We start from the raw sequence: 20,363 nt of genomic DNA, 5'->3' as shown, positions 1-20,363 counted from the left end.
TGTACCTGGTATAAAGTAGCTCCTTAGTGTTAACTACTACTACATAAAAAGTAATTGCAGTCTAGCGTGGTGGCTCACACCTGTAATCCCAGCACTTTGGGAGGCCAAGGCAGGAGGATCTCCTGAAGTCAGGAGTTTGAGACCAGCCTGGTAAACATGGTGAAACCCTGTCTCTACTAAAAAATACAAAAGTTAGCTGGGCCTGGTTGAACATGCCTGTAATCCCAGCTACTGGGGAGGCTGAGGTCAGAGAATCACTTGAACCCGGGAGGCAGAGGTTGCCGTGGGCCGAGATCGTGCCACTGTACTCCAGCCTGGGCGACAAAGTGAGACCTGTCTCGAAAAAAAAAGTAAATGCATTTTTAAAATTTGACATACATTAATTTAAAGGTAACATATTAGTTATATAGCATAAATTATATTTGTGACTTTTTTTTTTTGAGACGGAGTCTCGCTGTGTCACCCAGGTTAGAGTGCAGTGGCGCGATCTCAGCTCACTGCAACCTCCGCCTCCCAGGTTCAAGCGATTCTCCTGCCTCAGTCTCCTGAGTAGCTGGGATTACAGGCACTCACGACCATGCCCGGCTAATTTTTGTTTTTTGTATTTTCAGTAGAGATGGGGTTTCACCATGTTGATGAGGCTGGTCTCAAACTCCTGACCTCATGATCCGCCCACTCGGCCTATTTGTGACTATTTCTTTCTTTTTTTTCTTTTTTCTTTCTTTCTTTCTTTCTTTCTTTTTTTTTTTTTTTTTTTGAGATGGAGTCTTGATCTATCACCCAGGCTGGACTGCAGTGGCACGATCTCAGCTCACTGCAACCTCCGCCTCCCAGGTTCAAGCAATTCTCCTGCCTCAGCCTCCAGAGTAGCTGGGATTACAGGCATGCACCACCACACCCAGCTAATTTTTGTATTTTTAGTAGAGACAGGGTTTTACCATGTTGGTCATGCTGGTCTTGAACCCTTGACCTCAAATGATCCACCCACCTTGGCCTCCCAAAGTGCTGGGATTACAGGCATGAGCCACCATGCCCGGCCATATTTGTGACTATTTCTTGTAGAAAGAAAGTTAGTAGGTTGGGCGCGGTGGCTCAAGCCTGTAATCCCAGCACTTTGGGAGGCCGAGGTGGGCAGATCACGAGGTCAGGAGATCAAGACCATCCTGGCCAACATGGTGAAACCCCATCTCTACTAAAAGTATAAAAATTAGCTGGGTGTGGCAGTGCCTGCCTGTAGTCCCAGCTACTTGGGAGGCTGAGGCAGAAGAATTGCTTGAACCCGGGAGGCGGAGATTGCAGTGAGCTGAGATTGCGCCACTGCACTCCAACCTGACGACAGAGCTAGACTCGTCTCAAAAAAAAAAAAAAAAGAAAAGAAAAGAAAAAGAAAGAAAATTAGTAATATTTAAATTTTATTTCCATTCTTTGGGAGAACTAACTTTCACGAATATCTTCCATTGTGAAAGATAGTGAAATTATTTGTTGAATAACAACTATGCTGGCAGAATACTTATAATTTCACACTGGTTAAGTAATATGAAAATATAACATGTTGTTTAGAAACGAAAGGATCATGACTCTTTGCAAAATGTACTAAAGAGTTGCAACAGCAGATTCCATGTGTATTTATATAGTCATGTGTACAAAGTTTATTCACTCCTATTAATATAAATTTTTAATTGCTTCCTAGTGACAGCTCAACTTCCAGGAGCTGGTGGCTACCCAGGAGGAAAGATTATCTTCATTGATACAGAAAATACTTTGTAACCTTTTTATTTAAAGTTGCTAACATAATAGTGTGATATAGGAATGTTACCACTGAAGAGTTTGTCTGAGATATACAATCTTTGTAGTCATTCCATAAACCAGTAGTAATGAGACAAACCAAAGGGAAAACAATTACTGTTTAAGTTCTCCAATCACTTTGTATTTAATGAGGTTTCACTTCTTCATATGGGTTTATGAGACAAAACAAATACATGAGAGGAAATTATATCATCATTTTTAATCCTCTTACTTCTCTAAAGATGTTGCTTAATAGTTAGAAAAAAGATTTTTTTTTTTTTGAGACGGAATCTCCCTGTTGCCCAGGCTGGAGTCCAGTGGGGCAATCTCGGCTCACTGCAACCTCCATCTCTTGGGTTCAATCAATTCTCCTGCCTCAGCCTACCGAGTAGCTGGGATTACAGGTGTGTGCCACCACACCTGGCTAATTTTTTTGTATTTTTAGTAGAGACAGGGTTTTGACATGTTGACCAGGCTGTTCTGGAACTCCTGACCTCAGGTGATCCACCTGCCTCAGCCTCCCACAGTGCTAGGATTACAGGGGTGAGCGACTGCGCCTGGCTGAAAGATTATTGACTCACTGAAAGTCATGGTCCCAAATGAAGGGAACGGTATGAAGAGGGTGAAAGTTAATAAGGAAAACAGGCAGAACCTGTTTGGGTAACACAACGAATTGCAGTTTAATTAAAGTGTAAGGTATTCCAGGATATGGGCTAGAAAGATGATTGGGATCTTAGACATGAAAGGCTTTGAAACAAGATAGTGGGTGTAAACTGGATACTTTAGCAATATTCTAGGCAAGTAATGAGAACTTGATCTAGGTTGGAACTGGTAAGAATAAAAAGAAAAGGAAAAGAAGTATTAGGAAAATTGATAGGACTTGATGGCTATATTTGGTAGACAAAGGAAAGACAGGTTTGAGAAACCGCTCAGGTTTTTTGTCTAGATACTAGGAGAATAGTTATGTGATGCTAACAATAGAACTGGAAAGATCATGCTTCAGAGAAAAAGAGAAAAGGTGATGTTTCATTTTAATGTACTAATTTTACTTTTTTTTTTTTGAGACAGTGTCTTTCTCCATCACCCAGGCTGGAATGCAGTGGTGCAGTCTCAACTCACTGCAACCTCAGCTTCCCAAGTAGCTAAGTTTACAAATGTACACCACCACACCTGGCTAATTTTTGTATTTTTAATACAGATGGGGTTTCGCCATGTTGGCCAGGCTGGTTTTGAACTCCTGACCTCAAGTGATCCACCCACCTCAGCCTCCCAAAGTGTTGGAATTATAGGCGTGAGCCATCACGCCTGGCCTAATTTTTTTCTTCTTTTGAGACAGGTTCTTGCTCTGTTGCCCAGGCTGGAGTGCAGTGGCCCAATTACACTCACTGCAGACTCGAACTCCCAGGGTCAAGTGATCCTCCCACTTCAGCCTTCTGAGTAGCTGGAACTACAGGCACATACCACCACGCCTGGCTAATTTTTTTTATCTTTTGTAGAGACCAGGTTTCACCACGTTGCCCAGGCTGATCTCCAACTCCTGGGCTCAAGCGATCTGCCTGCCTTGGCCTCCCAAAGGACTGGGATTACAGGCATGAGCCATTGCACCCAGCCATCATTTTAATGTATTGAATATGATGTACATGAGGATATCCAGATGGCACTGGGAAATATTGAATTCAGCTTGAGAAAGGGGTAGGCCCAGAAATATGGACGAATTAACCAAGGGGGAAAGAGAACTTATAGAGAGAGAAGAGAGGAGAATTGAGAACATAACTTTGAGGTATGTTTATATTTAGGAAGAGGACTAAAATGAGAAACCCAGAGACAGAGGAAGTAGAAGGAAATCTGGTTGTAAAAGTCAAGCAAAAGGAAAGTTTCAAGACGATGAGTTGTCAGCAATGTTACACACACACGGATTTTGAGGATACAGCCTGAGAAAGATCATTATAAGTTCAAAATTAGGAGTTCAAGCGAACATTTGCCATAGGGTGAGGTGATAGAAGCTTTATGTAAACAAACAACAAGGGAGGGAGGCAGTATGAAATTGACCAATGAAAGGAAGAAGGCTAGGCACCGTGGCTCACGCCTGTAATCCCAGCACTTTGGGAGGCTGAGGCGGGTGGATTACCTGAGGTCAGGAGTTCGAGACCAGCCTGACCAACATGGAGAAACCCTGTCTCTACTAAAAATACAAAATTAGCCGGGCGTGGCGGCACATGCCTGTATTTCCAGCTACTCAGGAGGCTTAGGCAGGAGAATCGCTTGAACTGGGAGGCGGAGGTTGCGGTGAGCCGAGATCGTGCCATTGCACTCCAGCCTGGGCAACAAGAGGGAAACTCCGTCTCAAAAAAAAAAACAAAAACAAATAGGAAGAAAAAATATACTAGTTTGAGGAGGTATTCAGAGGAAATTCTTTTTAATAACAAAGAAGACCTATGCACATTTGTAAGGCTGTTCACAGTGAAGCCCCAGCCTGCCTCTCCAAGCTCAGTACTCACCATTGCCACTATTAGAGGCAAAGAGATGAATCTGTTTTAGTCCATCCCATTGCCTGTAAACATACTTTGTTATCAAAATTTGCACATATGTCTAGTCTCACTCCAGTGATCCCAGCACTTTGGGAGGCCAAGGCAGGAAGATCACTTGAGGCCAGGAGTTCAAGACCAGCCTGGGCAACATAGTGTCTCTACGAAATAAATTTTAAATTAGCCAGGTGTGGTTGCTATAAATCCCAGCTACTTGGAAGGCTGAGGCAGGAGGCTTATTTGAGGCCAGGAGTTCATGATTAGCCTGGGCAACATAGCAAGACTCTGTCTCTACCAAAAGAAAAAAAATCTAAAAACATTGTACATCAGCAGTTATTTAGATTTAACTATAAAGATTTTTGTTTTCTTTGTTCATTATGGTTTCTTGCATCCCAGATGTTATTTTTTCCTGTATTTTTGTTTTGCTGTAATACTTATTTCTTTCAGAAATGTAATACAGGTGGTAAACTTTGAACCTTAGTATGTCTGAAAGTGCCTTTATTTTGCTCTCACTCTTGGCTGTTAATTTGTCTGGTCACAGAGAACTTTGCATGGTATATTTCTATCTTCTTGGGTATTTGCTCCTTCCATCCCCATCTCACAGTCTTTCTGAATCATACAAATCATTTAAGGCTCTCATTTCAAGGCCTGCTTTTTCTAATCTTCCCTAATTACTCAATTTAGAAAATCTTGTCCTTCTTGACCTATTATAGAATTTACTATCTAAAATACTCACTTAGAAAACAAAACAGAGAACTGTTTGCAGAAGTCCCTTTTCAGAAATGCCAGGCATAAGAAGTCTCTGAAAGAGCCTTTTAACTTGGGGAAGGAGGGTGAAATGTCGTACAGGGCTTTAACAAGGGTGCTCAGCTGGAGTTCAGCTGGTTTCAGAAACAATTGATTAAGGATGATTCTTATCTCAGAGAGGGAAGAATTGTTCTTGCAGAGTAGCAGCCACTGTTTGGGCAATTTGGAGTTTTTTTTTTTCGAGATGGAGTTTCACTCTTGTTGCCCAGGCTGGAGTGCAATGGTGCGATCTCGGCTCACTACAACCTCCATCTCCCAGGTTCAAGCGATTCTCCTCCTCAGCCTCCCGAGTAGCTGCGATTACAGGTGCATGCCACCACACCCGGCTAATTTTGTATTTTTAGTAGAGACAGGGTTTCTCCATGTTGGTCGGGCTGGTCTCGAACTCCCGACCTCAGGTGATCCACCCACCTTGGCCTCCCAAAGTGCTGGGATTACAGGCGTGAGCCACGATGCCCGGCCTGCAATTTGGATTTTACTAAGAACAATAGGAATACTTAGGAGCTAAGTCATATGCAAGAGAGAGTGGAGAAGAACAGCTGGGTGGGGGTGCAGGGCACTGTGGCAAGGGCCACATTGGAGTGTTCTCATTCTTTCCGTGTCTCATACTTATACTGCTGTCTCTTGATAGTTTTCTTTTTATATGTTTATATTTTGCCTCCTTAATTATGTTTTAAATTTACCTAGGGCATAGGTTGTCTTAGGACTCCTTATATCCTCCATAATGCTTTGCCTTGGTAATTGATTAATATGGTAATTAATTCCATATGGTAATTGGTTAATAAATATTTATAATTGATCTGAACTTCCCTTCAGCATAAGCCCAAGTTTTTTCATTTTAAATTGTTTTGGCTGGCCGCTGTGGCTCACACCTGTAATCCTAGCACTTTGGGAGGCCGACGCGGGCGGATCACGAGGTCAGGAAATCGAGACCAACCTGGCTAACACGGTGAAACCCTGTCTCTACTAAAAATACAAAAAATTAGCCAGGCGCAGTGGTGGGCACCTGTAGTCCCAGCTACTCGGGAGGCTGAGGCAGGAGATGGTGTGAACCCGCGAGGCGGAGCTTGCAGTGAGCCGAGATAGCGCCACTGCAGTCCGGCCTGGGCGACAGAGCGAGACTCCATCTCAAAAAAAAAAAATTGTTTTGTTTTGTTTTTGGGACAGGGTCTCGCTCTGTCGCCTAGGCTGGAGTGCAATGACGTGATCATGGATCACTGCTGCCTCAACATCCAGGACTCAAGTGATCCTCCCACCTCAGCTTCTCAAGTAACTGGGACTACAGGTGCGTGCCACCATGCCCAGCTAATTTTTGTATTTTTTTGGTAGAGATAGGGTCTCACCATGTTGCCCAGGCTGGTCTCCAACTCCTGAGCTCTAGTGATCCTCCCACCTGGGCCTCCCAAAGTGCTGGGATTACAGATATAAGCCACCATGCCTGGTTTTGTTATTCCCTGTCTTTTGTATAAAAGCCATATTAACTGGGGTGAGATGATATTTCATTGTAGTTTTGATTTGCATTTCTCTGATGATCAGTGACATTGAGCACCTTTTCATATAGCTATTTGCCATTTGTATGTCTTCTGTGAACCCAGAGAATCTGAGACAGGTCTGAGTTAGTTTAGAGAGTTTATTTTGCTGCCGGGCGCAGTGGCTCATGCCTGTAATCCCAGCACTTTGGGAGGCCAAGGTGGGCAGATCACAAGGTCAGGAGATTGAGACCATCCTGGCCAACATGGTGAAACCCCGTCTCTACTAAAATACAAAAAAAAAAAAAATTAGCCGGGCATGGTGGCACGTGCCTGTAGTCCCAGCTACTCAGGAGGCTGAGGCAGGGGAATTGCTTGATTCCAGGAGGTGGAGGTTGCAGTGAGCTGAGATCGCGCCACTGCACTCCAGCCTGGGGACAGAGCAAGACTCTGTCTCAAAAAAAAAAAAAAGAAAGTTTATTTTGCCAAGATTGGGGATACGCCCGTGACACAGCCTCAGGAAGTCCTGACGACGTGTGCCCAAGGTGGTTGGGGCACAGCTTGGTTCTACACATTTTGGGAGACATGAGACATCTATCAGTATATGTAAGAAGAACATTGGTCCAGTCTGGAAAGGCGGGACAACCTGAAGCAAAGACAGGAAGACTAAGCAAAGCAAGGAGTGGGCTTCCAGGTCACAGATAGGTGAGACACAAATGGTTGCATTCTTTTGAGTTTCTGATTATCCTTTCCAAAGGAGGCAATCAGATATGCATCTATCTCAGTGAGCAGAGGAGTGACTTTGAATAGAATGAAAGGCAGGTTTGCCATAAGCAGTTTCCAGTTTGAGTTTTCCTTAGTGATTTTGGAGGCCCAAGATATTTTCCTTTCACACTTCTTTTGAGAAATGTCTTTTCAGATATTTTGCCCATTTTTAAATAAGATTATTAGATTTTTTTCCTATAGAGTAGTTTGAACTTTTTATATATTCTGGTTATTAATCCCTTGTCAGATGGATAGTTTGCAAATATTTTCTCAGCAAGGCAATTTTACTTCTATAAAAGGGTGTGACTCACTGATGGAGCAATGGCGAGAGCACATCTGAACAAGGGAGGGGAAGGGGGTTTTATTCCTGACTCAAGTAGCCCCTACTGCTGTGTCATTCCCCTATTGGCTAGGGTTGGACTGCACAGTCTAAGCTAATTCCGACTGGCTATTTTAAAGAGAGCAGGGTTATGAGTCGGAGTGGTGGAGTGAGTAGTTTGGCAGGAAGGATGGTTAGGAACAGGTGACTAAAGGTGACTCAGGTCAGAGCAGGTGACCAGGGGTGACTTAGGACAGAGCAATTGACCAGGGGAGACTCAGCATGGAGTAGATGACCAGGGGAACAGATGTAAACTACTGATTAGAACTGATGGAAAAGGTTGTTTACTGAAACTAGGGGCAAGAAAGCAAGAAGAAGGAGGAAGTTAACCTTTAAAATGGAGAACAAAGAACAGGGGAGCTGAACATACTGATACATTGGTTCCTTGGAGAGGATCTCAAAACTCATTGTACTTAACAATTTACAGGCAGCTGGGCACTATGGCTCACACCTGTAATCCCAGCACTTTGGGAGGCCGAGGTGGGTGGATCACGAGGTCAGGAGATCAAGACCATCCTGGCTAACATGGTGAAACCCCATCTCTACTAAAAATACAAAAAATTAGCCGGGCATGGTGGCGGGCACCTGTAGTCGCAGCTACTCAGGTGGCTGAGGCAGGAGAATGGCGTGAACCTGGGAGGTGGAGCTTGCAGTGAGCCGAGATCATGCCATTGCACTCCAGCCTGGGTGACAGAGCGAGACTCCGTCTCAAAAAAAAAAAAAAAAACAATTTACAGGCTAAAACCTTTGAAGAGGAATTTATTATATCCTACAGTTGACTGTGCTTGTGTGGTATTACTCAAGAAATCTTTACCCAGTCCAGTGTTCTACAGAGTTTCCCCAATGCTTCCTTTTAGTAGTTTCATAGTTTGAGGTCTTAGATTTAAGTCTTTAATCCATTTTTATTTGATTTTTGTATATGGTGAGAGATAGGGGTCTAATTTCATTCTTCTGCTTATGGATATCCCATTTTCCCAGCACCATTTACTGAAGAGACCGTCCTTTCTCCAATGTATGTTATTGGCACCTTTGTCGAAAATGAGTTCACTGTAGGTGTGTGGATTTGTTTCTGAGTTTTATATTCTGTTCCATTGGTCTATGCATCTGTTTTTATGCCCATACCGTGCTGTTTTGGATACTATAGCTCTATAGTATAATTTGAAGTCAGGTTATGTGGTTCCTTTAGTTTCGTTCTTTTTGCTCAAGATAGCTTTGGCTATTCTGGGTCTTTTGTGGTTCCATATAAATTTTAGGGTTGTTTTTCTATTTCTCTGAAGAATGTCATTGGTATTTTGATAGGAATTGCATTGATTCTGTAGATTGCTGTGTTTAGTATGGACATTTTAACAGTACTGATTCTTCCAACTCATGAACATGCAATATCTTTCTGTTTTTTGTGTGTCCTCTTCAATGTATTTCATCAATGTTTTATAGTTTTCATTGTAGAGATCCTTCACTTCTTTGGTTAAGTTAATTTCTAGGTCTTTAATTTTATTTGTAGCTATTGTAAATGGGATTAATTTTTGAATTTCTTTTTCAGATTGTTCCCTGTCGGTATTTAGAAATGCTGCTGATTTTTGTATGTTGATTTTGTATCCTGCAACTTTACTGAATTTGTTTATCAGTTCTAATAGCTTTTTGGTGGAGTCTGGGTTTTTCCAAACATAAGATCTTATTATCAGCAAACAAGGATAATTTGACTTCCTCCTTTTCAATCTGGATGACCTTTATTTATTTCTCTTGTCTGATTGCTCTAGCTAGGACTTTGAGAATTATGTTGAATAACAGTGGTGAAAGTGGGCATACTTGTTCCAGATCTTAGAGGAAAGACTTTCAGTTTTTCCCCATCTAGTATGATACTAGCTGTGGGTCTGTTGTGTATGGTTTTTATGTTGGGTTATGTTCCTTCTATACCCAATTTTTTGAGGGTTTTTTTTTTATCATAAATGAACGTTGAATTTTATCAAATGCTTTTTTCAGCATCAATTGAAATGATCATATGTTTTTTGTCCGTTCTGTTGATATATCACATTGATTTGTATATGTTGAACCATCCTTGCATCCCTGAGACGAATCCTACTTGGTCATGATGAATGATCTGTTTAATGTATTGTTGAATTTGGTTTGCTAGTATTTTGTTGAGGATTTAAGCCCAAGTTTTACACCCGCGGTCACATTGTTCCCAGACCAAACTGAGGATCAGGCTGCTTATTCTTATGGCCCAATAATGAGATGCAAATGAACTGGGAAAGGAGGGAGTTTTTGTTTCCGTAACCGGTTACAGGGAGAAGACCTGGAAAATAACACCAGACCAACTCAAAATTACAAAGTCTTCCAGAACTTATATACCTTCTCAGCTATATGTTTATTGTAAGTGTGCATTCATCTAACGACATAAGTCACTTTGAGAGGCCGAGGTGGGTGGAACACTTGAAGTCAGGAGTTCAAGACCATCCTGGCCAACATGGCGAAACCTTGTCTCTACTAAAAATACAAAAATTAGCTGGGCATGGTGGCACACGCCTGTAGTCCCAGCTACTCAGGATGCTCAGGCAAGAGAATCACTTGAACCAGGGAGGCAGAGGTTGCAGTGAGCCGAGATTGTGCCACTGGACTCCAGCCTGAGCAACAGAGTGAGACTCCATCTCAAAAAAATAAAATAAAAATTTTTAAAAATATATAAGTGATTAACTTCTTTTGATCTATAACTAAGATCTGAGTCCTAAAGACATTCCTCTGGAGCCTCAGTAAATTTACTTAATCTAAATGGGTCCAGGTGCTGGGGTGATTACCCTTATCTTATCTCCTGCTAAATCATGGAGGTTTGGGGAGTTCCTTCAGACCCCCAATAACTTGTTTGTGGAGACCTAGGGAGTTTCTTCAGGCCCCCAGTAAAACTCGTTTAATCCTAAACAGGTACTGTTAAGAATTTCTTCATTATCTTGTCATGCTTCAAGGCCCAGGAAAGGCCTGGGCAAAACTCTTGGTGGCCTTTTGTTACATTCCAGCCTTTGTATAAGGGCACTTTCAGCTTTTAATATTTAACTTAACCACTCAGTCAGTGCTGAAACAGTTGTTATGGAGGCCTGCATTAGTAAGACCTGGCCTGCCACAACATAGTATCTGGGATTTGTAGAAACCGACATGATGAAAATGTTTTTATTGCCTCTTCCAATTCCCTGTCTAACTTGTCCACCAAAAACATCTACTGGGTATACTCAATAACAATGGAAGATTTTTGTGGCTGTCACCAAAGCTCTAACAACAAGAACATATCTAGTGCATTAGGATATAAATGGCTGGGAATTTAAATTAATTGCAAACATCACAAATAAGATTATAAATGGTCCTTGATTTACAGTTACTTATACTGGGATCAGTGTTATGTAAACACTATAAACAAAGTGAAATAAGGTTACAAACATGCATTTAATTTTACCTCATTTTACTTCAGACATATTGTTGGGATCACCAAAGACCTAAAAAAAATGTTTATTACTCCTTTATAGTTTATAGGTATAAGTGATTATTAGCTTCTTCCAGAATACTTTTGCAGGTGCACTTAGTTTGCTTCCCTATGAATTTGCTAATTTCAGAAAGCTAACAACTCCTGGCTAGGCATGGTGGCTCATGCCTGTAATCCTATCACTTTGGGAGGCCGAGGCAGGCATATCACTTGAGGTCAGTAGTTTGAAACCAGCCTGGCCAACATGGTGAAACCCCGTCTCCACTAAAAATACAAAAATTAGCTAGGTATGATGGCTCGCGCCTGTAATCACAGCTACTCAGGAGACTGAAGGAGGAGAAAACAAAAAAAAAGCTAACAACTCCTTTAGAAGAAAGTAGATTTTAAACTGTATATACTTTCCAGGTAAGATTTGAAAAGAAAAAGAAAACCTATGCCAACAAAAAACCTTTGGTCGATATTTCTCTTCTGGGCCCTTGAAGTTACCTTTTTGACCCTTTGGTTCATGTAGTCAAATTTATCATTTAACAACATGTGATTAATAATATAATAAACTATTTCATATTGAGGAATGAGGGGTATGAAGAGAGTGAATTAATTCACTTTGCAGTTATTGAATTATAATTCAGTGATATTATCTATTACAGGTCTATTTTTATAGATCTGAGAACAAAAGGACTCACAAAGCTTAGTTCCTAGTTTTTCTCTTGTAACTGATTTGCTGCATAAGCTCAAGTCATTTGCCTAATCTCTGTTTGCCAGTGTCTTACGTTGTAAAATGTAAAACAGGCCATAAAAACTAGCTTCCAAGGTTATTGTAAAGTTTTGATAATTTAATAGTTAAAGTCATTACTGCCTCACATTTCTATGACCATTATCACTACCTATGGTAAGTTGAGGCACTTATGAATAAACAAATCTTGTATAGACTTTAAATGGTTGCTAGCATCCTCTAGAATACCTTCACAGGTACATTGTTTGGCTTCTCTGTTAATTTACGGAAGATATTATGTTTTGTAGTGGTTGTCTAAACTTTTTTAGAATTGACTTATTGGATCCTTAATCTTGGCATACTCCAGCCGTCCAGATCGCCTTAGGGACATTGCTGATCGCTTTAATGTAGACCATGATGCAGTACTGGACAACGTACTTTATGCACGTGCATATACTAGTAAGAGCCCCATGCAGTTGGATGCTTGGGTCAATGTAAGGTTGGCAGCACTGATTTACTACTTGAGGGATACAACATTTTGATACTTTTTTTCTATTTTATTTTTCTCTAAATTAATTTACTCAGTCTATAAATTTTATCATCTGGTAAGTCCTTAGATAATAAAGTGCCCTCAAATTATTTATTATTCTTTGTCTTTGAAATTAAGAGTAACATTCTTTTTGGATAATGTAGCATTTGGTATACATGCTAAGGCAGAATATGCAATAATTTTTTTTTTTTTTTGAGATGGAGTCTCGCTCTGTCACTCAGGCTGGAGTGCAGTGGTATGATCTCGGCTCACTGCAACCTCCAACTCCTGGCTTCAAGTGATTCTCCTACCTCAGCCTCCCAAGTCGCTGGGATTACAGGCACACGCCACCACACCCAGCTAATTTTTGTATTTTTTAGTAGAGTCAGGGTTTCACCATGTTGGCAAGGCTGGTCTTGAACTCCTGACCCCAAGTGATCCACCTGCCTCGGCCTCCCAAAGTGTTGGGATTATAGGCATGAGCCACCATGCCCTGCTGCAATAATATTTAATAAAGTCATCAATAATTAAGAAAATCCTTCAAGGAATTTATTTTGCCTGGCTCCCAAGAATATGAATGATCTTAGCCTCTGCTTCTTTCAACTTTTATAACATTTTCTCACTGCATTTCCCATCAGGTGAACATCAGATGGAGCTACTTGATTATGTAGCAGCAAAGTTCCATGAAGAAGCTGGCATCTTCAAGCTATTGGTACAAGCTTTTAAATATTGCTTTCACAGAGCTATTTAGCATAATATTTTTCTTCTATTGATCTCTATTCAAATAACGTCTTCCTTCAATTTCCAAATGCATGTTTATTTTTACATTAATCCTGTGTAGATTATCGATTCAATAATGGCACTTTTTCGAGTGGATTTCAGTGGCCGTGGGGAGTTGGCCGAACGGCAGCAAAAATTGGCCCAGATGTTGTCACGACTCCAAAAAATCTCAGAAGGTATATCTTTAAAATAAAATGGCATCTGTGACTATGTTTGTCAAGTATACTTTGCAGAGAAGCTTGGAATATAATGTCAGGAGGCAGCGATTTTTTTTTAAATAAAATTACCTTTATGAGAATACAACTCTTTGTTTTTTTTTTGTTTTTTGAGATGGTATCTCGCTCTGTTGCCCAGGCTGGAGTGCAGTGGTGCGATCTCGGCTCACTGCAACCTCCGCCTCCCAGGTTCAAGCAATTCTTCCTCCTTAGCCTCCTGAGTAGCTGGAATTACAGGCACCTGCCATCACACCAGGCCAATTTTTTGTATATTTAGTAGAGACGGGGTTTCACCATGTTGGCCAGGCTGGTCTCGAGCTCCTGACCTCGTGATCTGTCCGCCTCAGCCTCCCAAAGTGCTGGGATTACAGGCATGAGCCGCTGAGCCCGGCTTTACAACTCTTTTTAAACCAAAAATATTTATTCTAACCTTAATAATAATAATAACAAATAATTTCTGTTGTCAATGAAAAATAGGAATATGATGTTATTTATAAAATAAATTCATGATGCAATATGTCTAAACTCTGAAATCTAAACAATGAACTTTTAAATATCTATATTGCCTTTCTCATAGTTTTAAAATTTTATCTCTTGATGCAGAATATAACGTGGCTGTTTTTGTGACCAATCAAATGACTGCCGATCCAGGAGCAACTATGACGTAAGCCCCAATATTCTACTTTTTATTTCACAGAGGTTAATATAAAGAGGGTTAGAGCGTAGAATAGAAAATAATTTCAAGGCCGGGCACGGTGGCTCACGCCTGTAATTCCAGCACTTTAGCAGGCTGAGGCAGGCGGATCACGAGGTCAGGAGATGGAGACCAGCCTGACTAACATAGTGAAACCCCGTCTCTACTAAAAATACAGAGATTAGCCGGGTGTGGTGGCGCACACCTGTAATCTCAGCTACTCCGGAGGCTGAGGCAGAAGAATCACTTGAACCTGGGAGGTGGAGGTTGTAGTAAGCCGAGATCGCGCCATTGTACTCCTGTCTGGGAAACAGAGCAAGATTCTATCTCAAAAAGAAAAAAGAAAAAAGAAAAGAATTTAAAAATCATTAGTCTTTATGTGGGCACAAATATATCACAAATCACTTTATTACTGGGCGCAGTGGCTCATGCCTGTAATCCCAACACTTTGGGAGGCCTAGATGGTTGGATCACCTGAGGTCAGGAGTTCAAGACCAGCCTGGCCAACATGATGAAGCCTCGTCTCTACTAAAAATACAAAAAATTAGCTGGGCGTGGTGGCGTGCACCTGTAATCCCAGCTATTCGGGAGGCTGAGGTGGGAGAATCACTTGAACCTGGGAGGCGGAGGTTGCAGTGAGCCAAGATCATGCCATTGCACTCCAGCTTGTGCAACAAGAGCAAAACTGCATCTCAAAAAAAAAATCACTTTATTGCACAGTGTATATGACTTCATAATTGTAAATATCACTTGGTAACCAGAATCTATTTTTCTCTAGTTCTTTATAGAATAAAGCAATACTTTAACCATTTTCAGCAGTACTTTGGGCTTCTCTTTGGTCTAGGGCTAAAGGGGTATGGGAGGACAATAAGAAATAGATCCTAGGGAAATAAAAACTTATATTGCAGCTTATCAGTATAATAAACACCATTCATAAAAACAAAAAAGTCATCTTTCTACAGGATATACATGAGATATATTTATCAGAGGCACTATGGGAGAAGTCTCCTGTTTGAAGAAAAAGAATTTCAGTTCACACTAGGCATATTCAGAATTTGTTGAAGTGTTTGTGCACATAACTATTGATGACTCTGAAAGACGGCAGTGAATAGAAACACACAGAGAGCTAAAGTAGGATAATAAAAATAGATAAATCAAACAAAGGTTTGTTGCCACCGTAACAAATTTTGAGCATTATGTGTCTGAATAAGCAATCAAAATAATCCTAAATACACACCACTGCACTCCAGCCTGGGAGACAGAGCAAGACTGTCTCAAACAAAGCAAAACAAATCTAAATTCATGATAATGCTTTTTTAAAGTGTGTGTGTGTTTTTTTTTTTTAAGAGACAAGGTTTCACTCTGTCACCCAAGCTGCAATGCAGTGGCACCATCTCTGCTCACTGCAACCTCTGCCTCTCAGGCTCAGGTGATGCTCCAGCCTCAGCCTCCCGAGCAGCTGGGAGGCACACATCGCCACGCCTGGCTAATTTTTTTATTTTTAGAAGAGACAGGGTTTTGCCATGTTGGCCAGGCTGGTCTCGAACTCCTGGCCTCAAGCGATCCTCCCACCTCAGCATCCCAAAGTGCTAGGATTACATGTGTGAGCCCCCTTGCCTAGCCAAAAAGCTTTTAAAAAAATCTTTTAAAGGCTGGGTGCAGTGGGCAGTGGCTCACTGTAATCTCAGCACTTTGGGAGGCCGAGGTGGGAGGATCACCTGAGGTCAGGAGTTCAAGACCAGCCTGGACAACATGGCAAAACCCTGTCTTTACTAAAAATAAAAAAACTAGCCAGGCATGGTGGTGTGCACCTGTAGTCCTAGCTTCTTGGGAGGCTAAGACAGGAGGATCACTTGAACCTGGGAGGCAGAGGTTGAAGTGAGCCAAGATCGTGCCACTGCACTCCAGCCTGGGTGACAGAACAAGACTCCGTCTCAAAAACAAAAAAAAAAAAGATTTTTTTAAAGGTTTTTATTTAGAAAATATTTTTACCAGAGAGAAGTTAAAAAACTAGTGCAATGAATTCATGCCACTGCATTTCAGCCTGGGAGACAGAGCAAGACATACTCATTTATCTAGGTTCATCAGTTGTTAAATTTGCCACATTTTTTCTCTCTCCTGTATGTGTGTGTGTGTGTGTGTGTGTGTGTGGAGGTGTACATACACCTTTGTTTCTCCACACATACACACATTCTCATATGTATATGTATGTGGTATGTGTATACGGTTTTTTGTTTGTTTTTCTTTTTCTTTTTTTTTTTTTGAGACGGAGTCTCGCTCTGTCACCCAGGCTAGAGTGCAGTGGCACGATCCCAGCTCACTGCAGTCTCCGCCTCCCAGGTTCAGGCGATTCTCCTGCCTCAGCCTCCTGAGTAGCTGGAATTACAGGCACCTACCACCACACCCGGCTAATTTTTTGTATTTTTAGTAGAGACGGGGTTTCACCGTGTTAGCCAGGATGGTTTCTATCTCTTGACCTCACGATCCACCTGCCCCGGCCTCCCAAAGTGCTGGGATTACAGGCATAAGCCACTGTGCCCAGCCTCTTTTTTTTTTAGATGGAGTTTCACTCTTGTTTCCCAGGCTGGAGTGCAATGGTGCGATCTCAGCTCACTGCAACCTCCACCTCCTGGGTTCAAGCAATTCTCCTGCCTCAGCCTCCCGAGTAGCTAGGATTACAGGCACCTGCCAACCACCCCTGGCTAATTTTTTTTGTATTTTTAGTAGAGACAGGGTTTCACCACGTTGGCCAGGCTGGTCTCGAACTCCCGACCTCAGGTGTTCCACCCACCTTGGCCTCCCAAAGTCCTGGGATTACAGGCATGACCCACCGCACTCAGTCGTGTTTGTTTGTTTTTTGAGACAGAGTCTTGCTCTGTCACTCAGGCTGGAGTGCAGCAGCACCATCTCAGCTCACTGCAACCTCTGCCTCCTGGGTTCAAGCAATTCTCCTGCCTCAGCCTCCCGAGTAGCTGGGATTACAGGCGCCTGCCACCATGGCCGGCTAATTTTTGTATTTTTAGTAGAGACGGGGTTTCTTCATGTTGGCCAGGCTGGTCTCGAACTCCTGACCTCAGGTGATTCGCCCACCTCAGCCTCCCAAAGTGCTGGGATTACAGGTGTGAGCCACTACGCCCAGCCTGTATATGTATTTTTTGGTGAACCATTTGAGAAGTTTCTTCTGAACCACTGAAAATTATTCACAGACATCATGACACTTCACCTCTTAATACTTCAGCATATCTCTTCTAAGAATAATGATGTTCTTCTACATAGCCACAATATAATTATCACATTCAGAAATTCTAACATTGGCATAATAATGTTATCTAATATACAGTTGTATTCAAGTGTCTCCAGTTGCCCCAATAATGTCCTTTATAGTTGTTGGGGGTTTTTTTGTTTTGCATTCAATTCAGGATCAATTGAAGAACATGCACTGCGTGTAATTGTCATGTCTCTTTAGTCTCCTTTAATCAGAACAGCTCTTCAACCTTTGTTAGACTTTTATGACACCGACATTTTTGTAGAACACAGACCAACTGTTTTGCAATGTCCCTCAATTTGAAGTTGAATTTTTTCTTCATTACTTAAAATGTTAAGCATTTTGACAGGAAAACTACATAAGCAATATTATGGCCTTCTCAGTATATCATATCAGGAGGCACATGATGGCAGTTTGTCCCATTATTAGTGATGTTAATTCTGATCATATGATTAAGATGATATTCACATGATGTCTCCATTGTAAAAGAAAATTACAAAAATTCTCTTTTATATTTAATTAGTAATTTGTGGTGTGATAATTTGAGACTGTGTAAATATCTTGCTCTGCAATAAGCTTTCATGCATTTATATTAGCATCCATTGAAGATTCTTGCCTAAATTAATTAGAGTAAATTAATTATTACTCTGATGGTTGCAATACAAAGTGCTATTACTTTAAAACAGAAGCAATGCATCATATGGTAGCAGATTAAATGTATCATTGACAGATATATTAAAAGATATTTGATATGCTGGAGTAAATTCTGTAAATTACATTGAAATGAATGTGTCTCTCTTTAAGCATTTTCCAAATTTACCCTTAACAATTTTGCTTCATCTTTCGCAGTTTGATATCTATCTCTCACTTTTCAAGACTCTTTTTTTTTTTTTTTTTTTTTGTGATGGAGTCTCGCTCTGTCACTCAGGCTGAAGTGCAATGGCGCGATCTCGGCTCACTGCAAGCTCCGCCTCCCAGGTTGATGCCATTCTGTCACCTCGGCCTCCCTAGTAGCTTGGGACTATAGGCGCCCGCCACCACACCCGGCTAATTTTGTTTTTGTGTTTTAGTAGAGACGGGGTTTCACCGTGTTAGCCAGGATGGTCTCGATCTCCTGACCTCGTGATCCATCTGCCTCAGCCTCCCAAAGTGCTGGGATTACAGGCATGAGCCACCGCGTCTGGCCTCAAGACCCTTTTATAAGTATTTTCTACTTAGTTACAAGAGATTCCTGTGAAAAATATTAACTACTCAAATGTTATTAAGCAAGTTAAAAAGATTGAGCAGGGGAAATCATTTATTCACTCAATGAATATTTATTGAAAATCTACTATGTAACAATATTCTGAGAATTCACTAGTGAACAAAAAAGACAAAAATCCTGGCCTCGGCCAAGCACGGTGGCTCACGCCTGTAATCCCAGCACTTTGGGAGGCCGAGGCAGGAGGATCGCTTGAGCCCAGGAGCCTAAGTCACATAGACAGACCTCGTCTCTAAAAAAAATTAAAAATTAGCCAAGCATGGTGGCACATGCCTGTAGTCCTAACTACTTGGGAGGCTGAGGCAGGAGGATTGCTTGAGCCTGGGAGGTCAAGGCTGCAGTGAGCCATGTTTGCACCACTGCACTCCAGCCTGGGCAAGAGAGTGAGAACCTGTCTCAAAAAAAAAAAAGTCTTGTGAACGGGTGTGGTGGCTCACTCCTGTAATCCAGCACTTTGGGAGACCAAGGTCAGTGGATCACGAGGTCAGGAGATCGAGACCAGGCTGGCCAACATGGTGAAACCCTGTCTCTACTAAAAATATAAAAATTAGCCGGGCGTAAATGCGCGTGCCTGTAATCCCAGCTACTTGGGAGGCTGAGGCAGAAGAATCGTTTGAACCCGGGAGGGGAGGTTGCAGTGAGCCGAGATCACACCCCTGCACTCCAGCCTGGGTGACAGAGTGAGACTCTGTCTCAAAAAAGAAAAAAAAAAAAAAAGAAAGACAATAAATGATGTCCATTCAACTCAAAATTTTAGTCTTGGTAAGTCACACATTGTCTATAGTATAGTCGCTGAGTGGTTAAGGCAATCATCTCTGTTTTATGGGATGACTTTCATACACAGGACATGAAGTGCTTCACAAAGAGAATAATTTTAAACTGAAGAGAAATGGAAGATTTTTAAGGCTCGTTTTAAAAAGAGAAAATGACTCATTGGCTCAGAGGGAGGAAGTGGGTTGCATTCAAATAAAACAGTACAAGTTAAAGAGCAATGTTCTTTCTTCAGGTGTCGGGAGGGAACATTGAAGAGGCCAAAACTGTCACTCTAGAGTTAGAAGGCAAAGGAAATCAGCGGAAATTAGGTCAGATAGGGGTTCTTTTTCTTATATTTGTAGAAAGTTTCAAAAAGAGTAAAACAATTTTGAATTAATTCCAATAAGACAATGAAAGAAATAGAGAGATGACAGATAATTGAAGAGGGAGTTGGAATGGGGAGGAGACTGAAAATGAGGAAGCTAAGTAAAGTGCTAGACAAAGTAACAAAGGCTAGTATTTTTACTGGGTAAGTCAACTCTGAAACATCATCTCCTCCACCTAGCTGAATTGTTAGGAAACAAGGTTCACTATAATTGGTATGTTAATAAAGTATATTAAATTATAACAATACAAATTAAATGCTTGTCTTTATATAAAGCACAAAAGTTGCCACAGCTAAATGGGAAAAAAAAGGACAATTTTAAACTAAAGGATTTTAAATACTATTAGGAAACCTCCCATAAAGAAAATATCTTTGTTTCTCAGTGTTGAGAAACTCCAAGCTGCAGTTCCCCTGGGGCCTGTCAGGGAACTATCACTATAATTGGTATGAGTCCGCAAGTACACTGACAATAATTGGGGCTTATATCCCATGCATTATACTTGATTGCACATCTTATTAAAAAGGAACGAAATTATAGAAGCGAGGAGCTGCCATACGATATAGCAAGAGGAG

At 41.4% G+C, this 20,363-nt stretch overlaps 1 protein-coding gene across 18 annotated transcripts in view, besides 1 other annotated feature; it reads left to right on the top strand.

Moving 5' to 3' along the window:
• The window catches only part of DMC1 (DNA meiotic recombinase 1), a 61,037-nt gene that overhangs the window by 18,496 nt on the left and 22,178 nt on the right, over positions 1–20,363 (top strand). For 11 of the 18 annotated variants that reach the window (XM_011529838.2, XM_011529837.3, XM_047441079.1 and 8 more), the window contains 3 exons: positions 13,076–13,149; positions 13,279–13,393; positions 14,036–14,096. In XM_011529838.2, the coding sequence (XP_011528140.1) occupies positions 13,076–13,149; positions 13,279–13,393; positions 14,036–14,096 (250 nt within the window). Of the gene's footprint in view, positions 1–1,690; positions 1,764–12,275; positions 12,368–13,075; positions 13,150–13,278; positions 13,394–14,035; positions 14,097–20,363 lie in introns of all 18 variants that reach the window. The other 7 variants (XM_011529835.3, XM_011529834.3, XM_047441075.1 and 4 more) reach the window with 1 other exon arrangement.
• Positions 19,757–19,957: a silencer, noted in NCBI's record as "peak4491 fragment used in MPRA reporter construct". NCBI's record gives its function as "represses an SCP1 promoter by STARR-seq MPRAs in K562 erythroleukemia cells {active_cell/tissue: K562}" and the evidence as "EXISTENCE:reporter gene assay evidence [ECO:0000049][PMID:32103011]".

Source organism: Homo sapiens, chromosome 22 (assembly GCF_000001405.40).
Source record: "Homo sapiens chromosome 22, GRCh38.p14 Primary Assembly".
In the NCBI taxonomy this organism is placed as follows: Eukaryota; Metazoa; Chordata; class Mammalia; order Primates; family Hominidae; genus Homo; species Homo sapiens.
The sequence above is the reverse complement of the archived record's forward strand: the minus strand, read 5'-3'. Positions and strand labels throughout refer to the sequence as shown.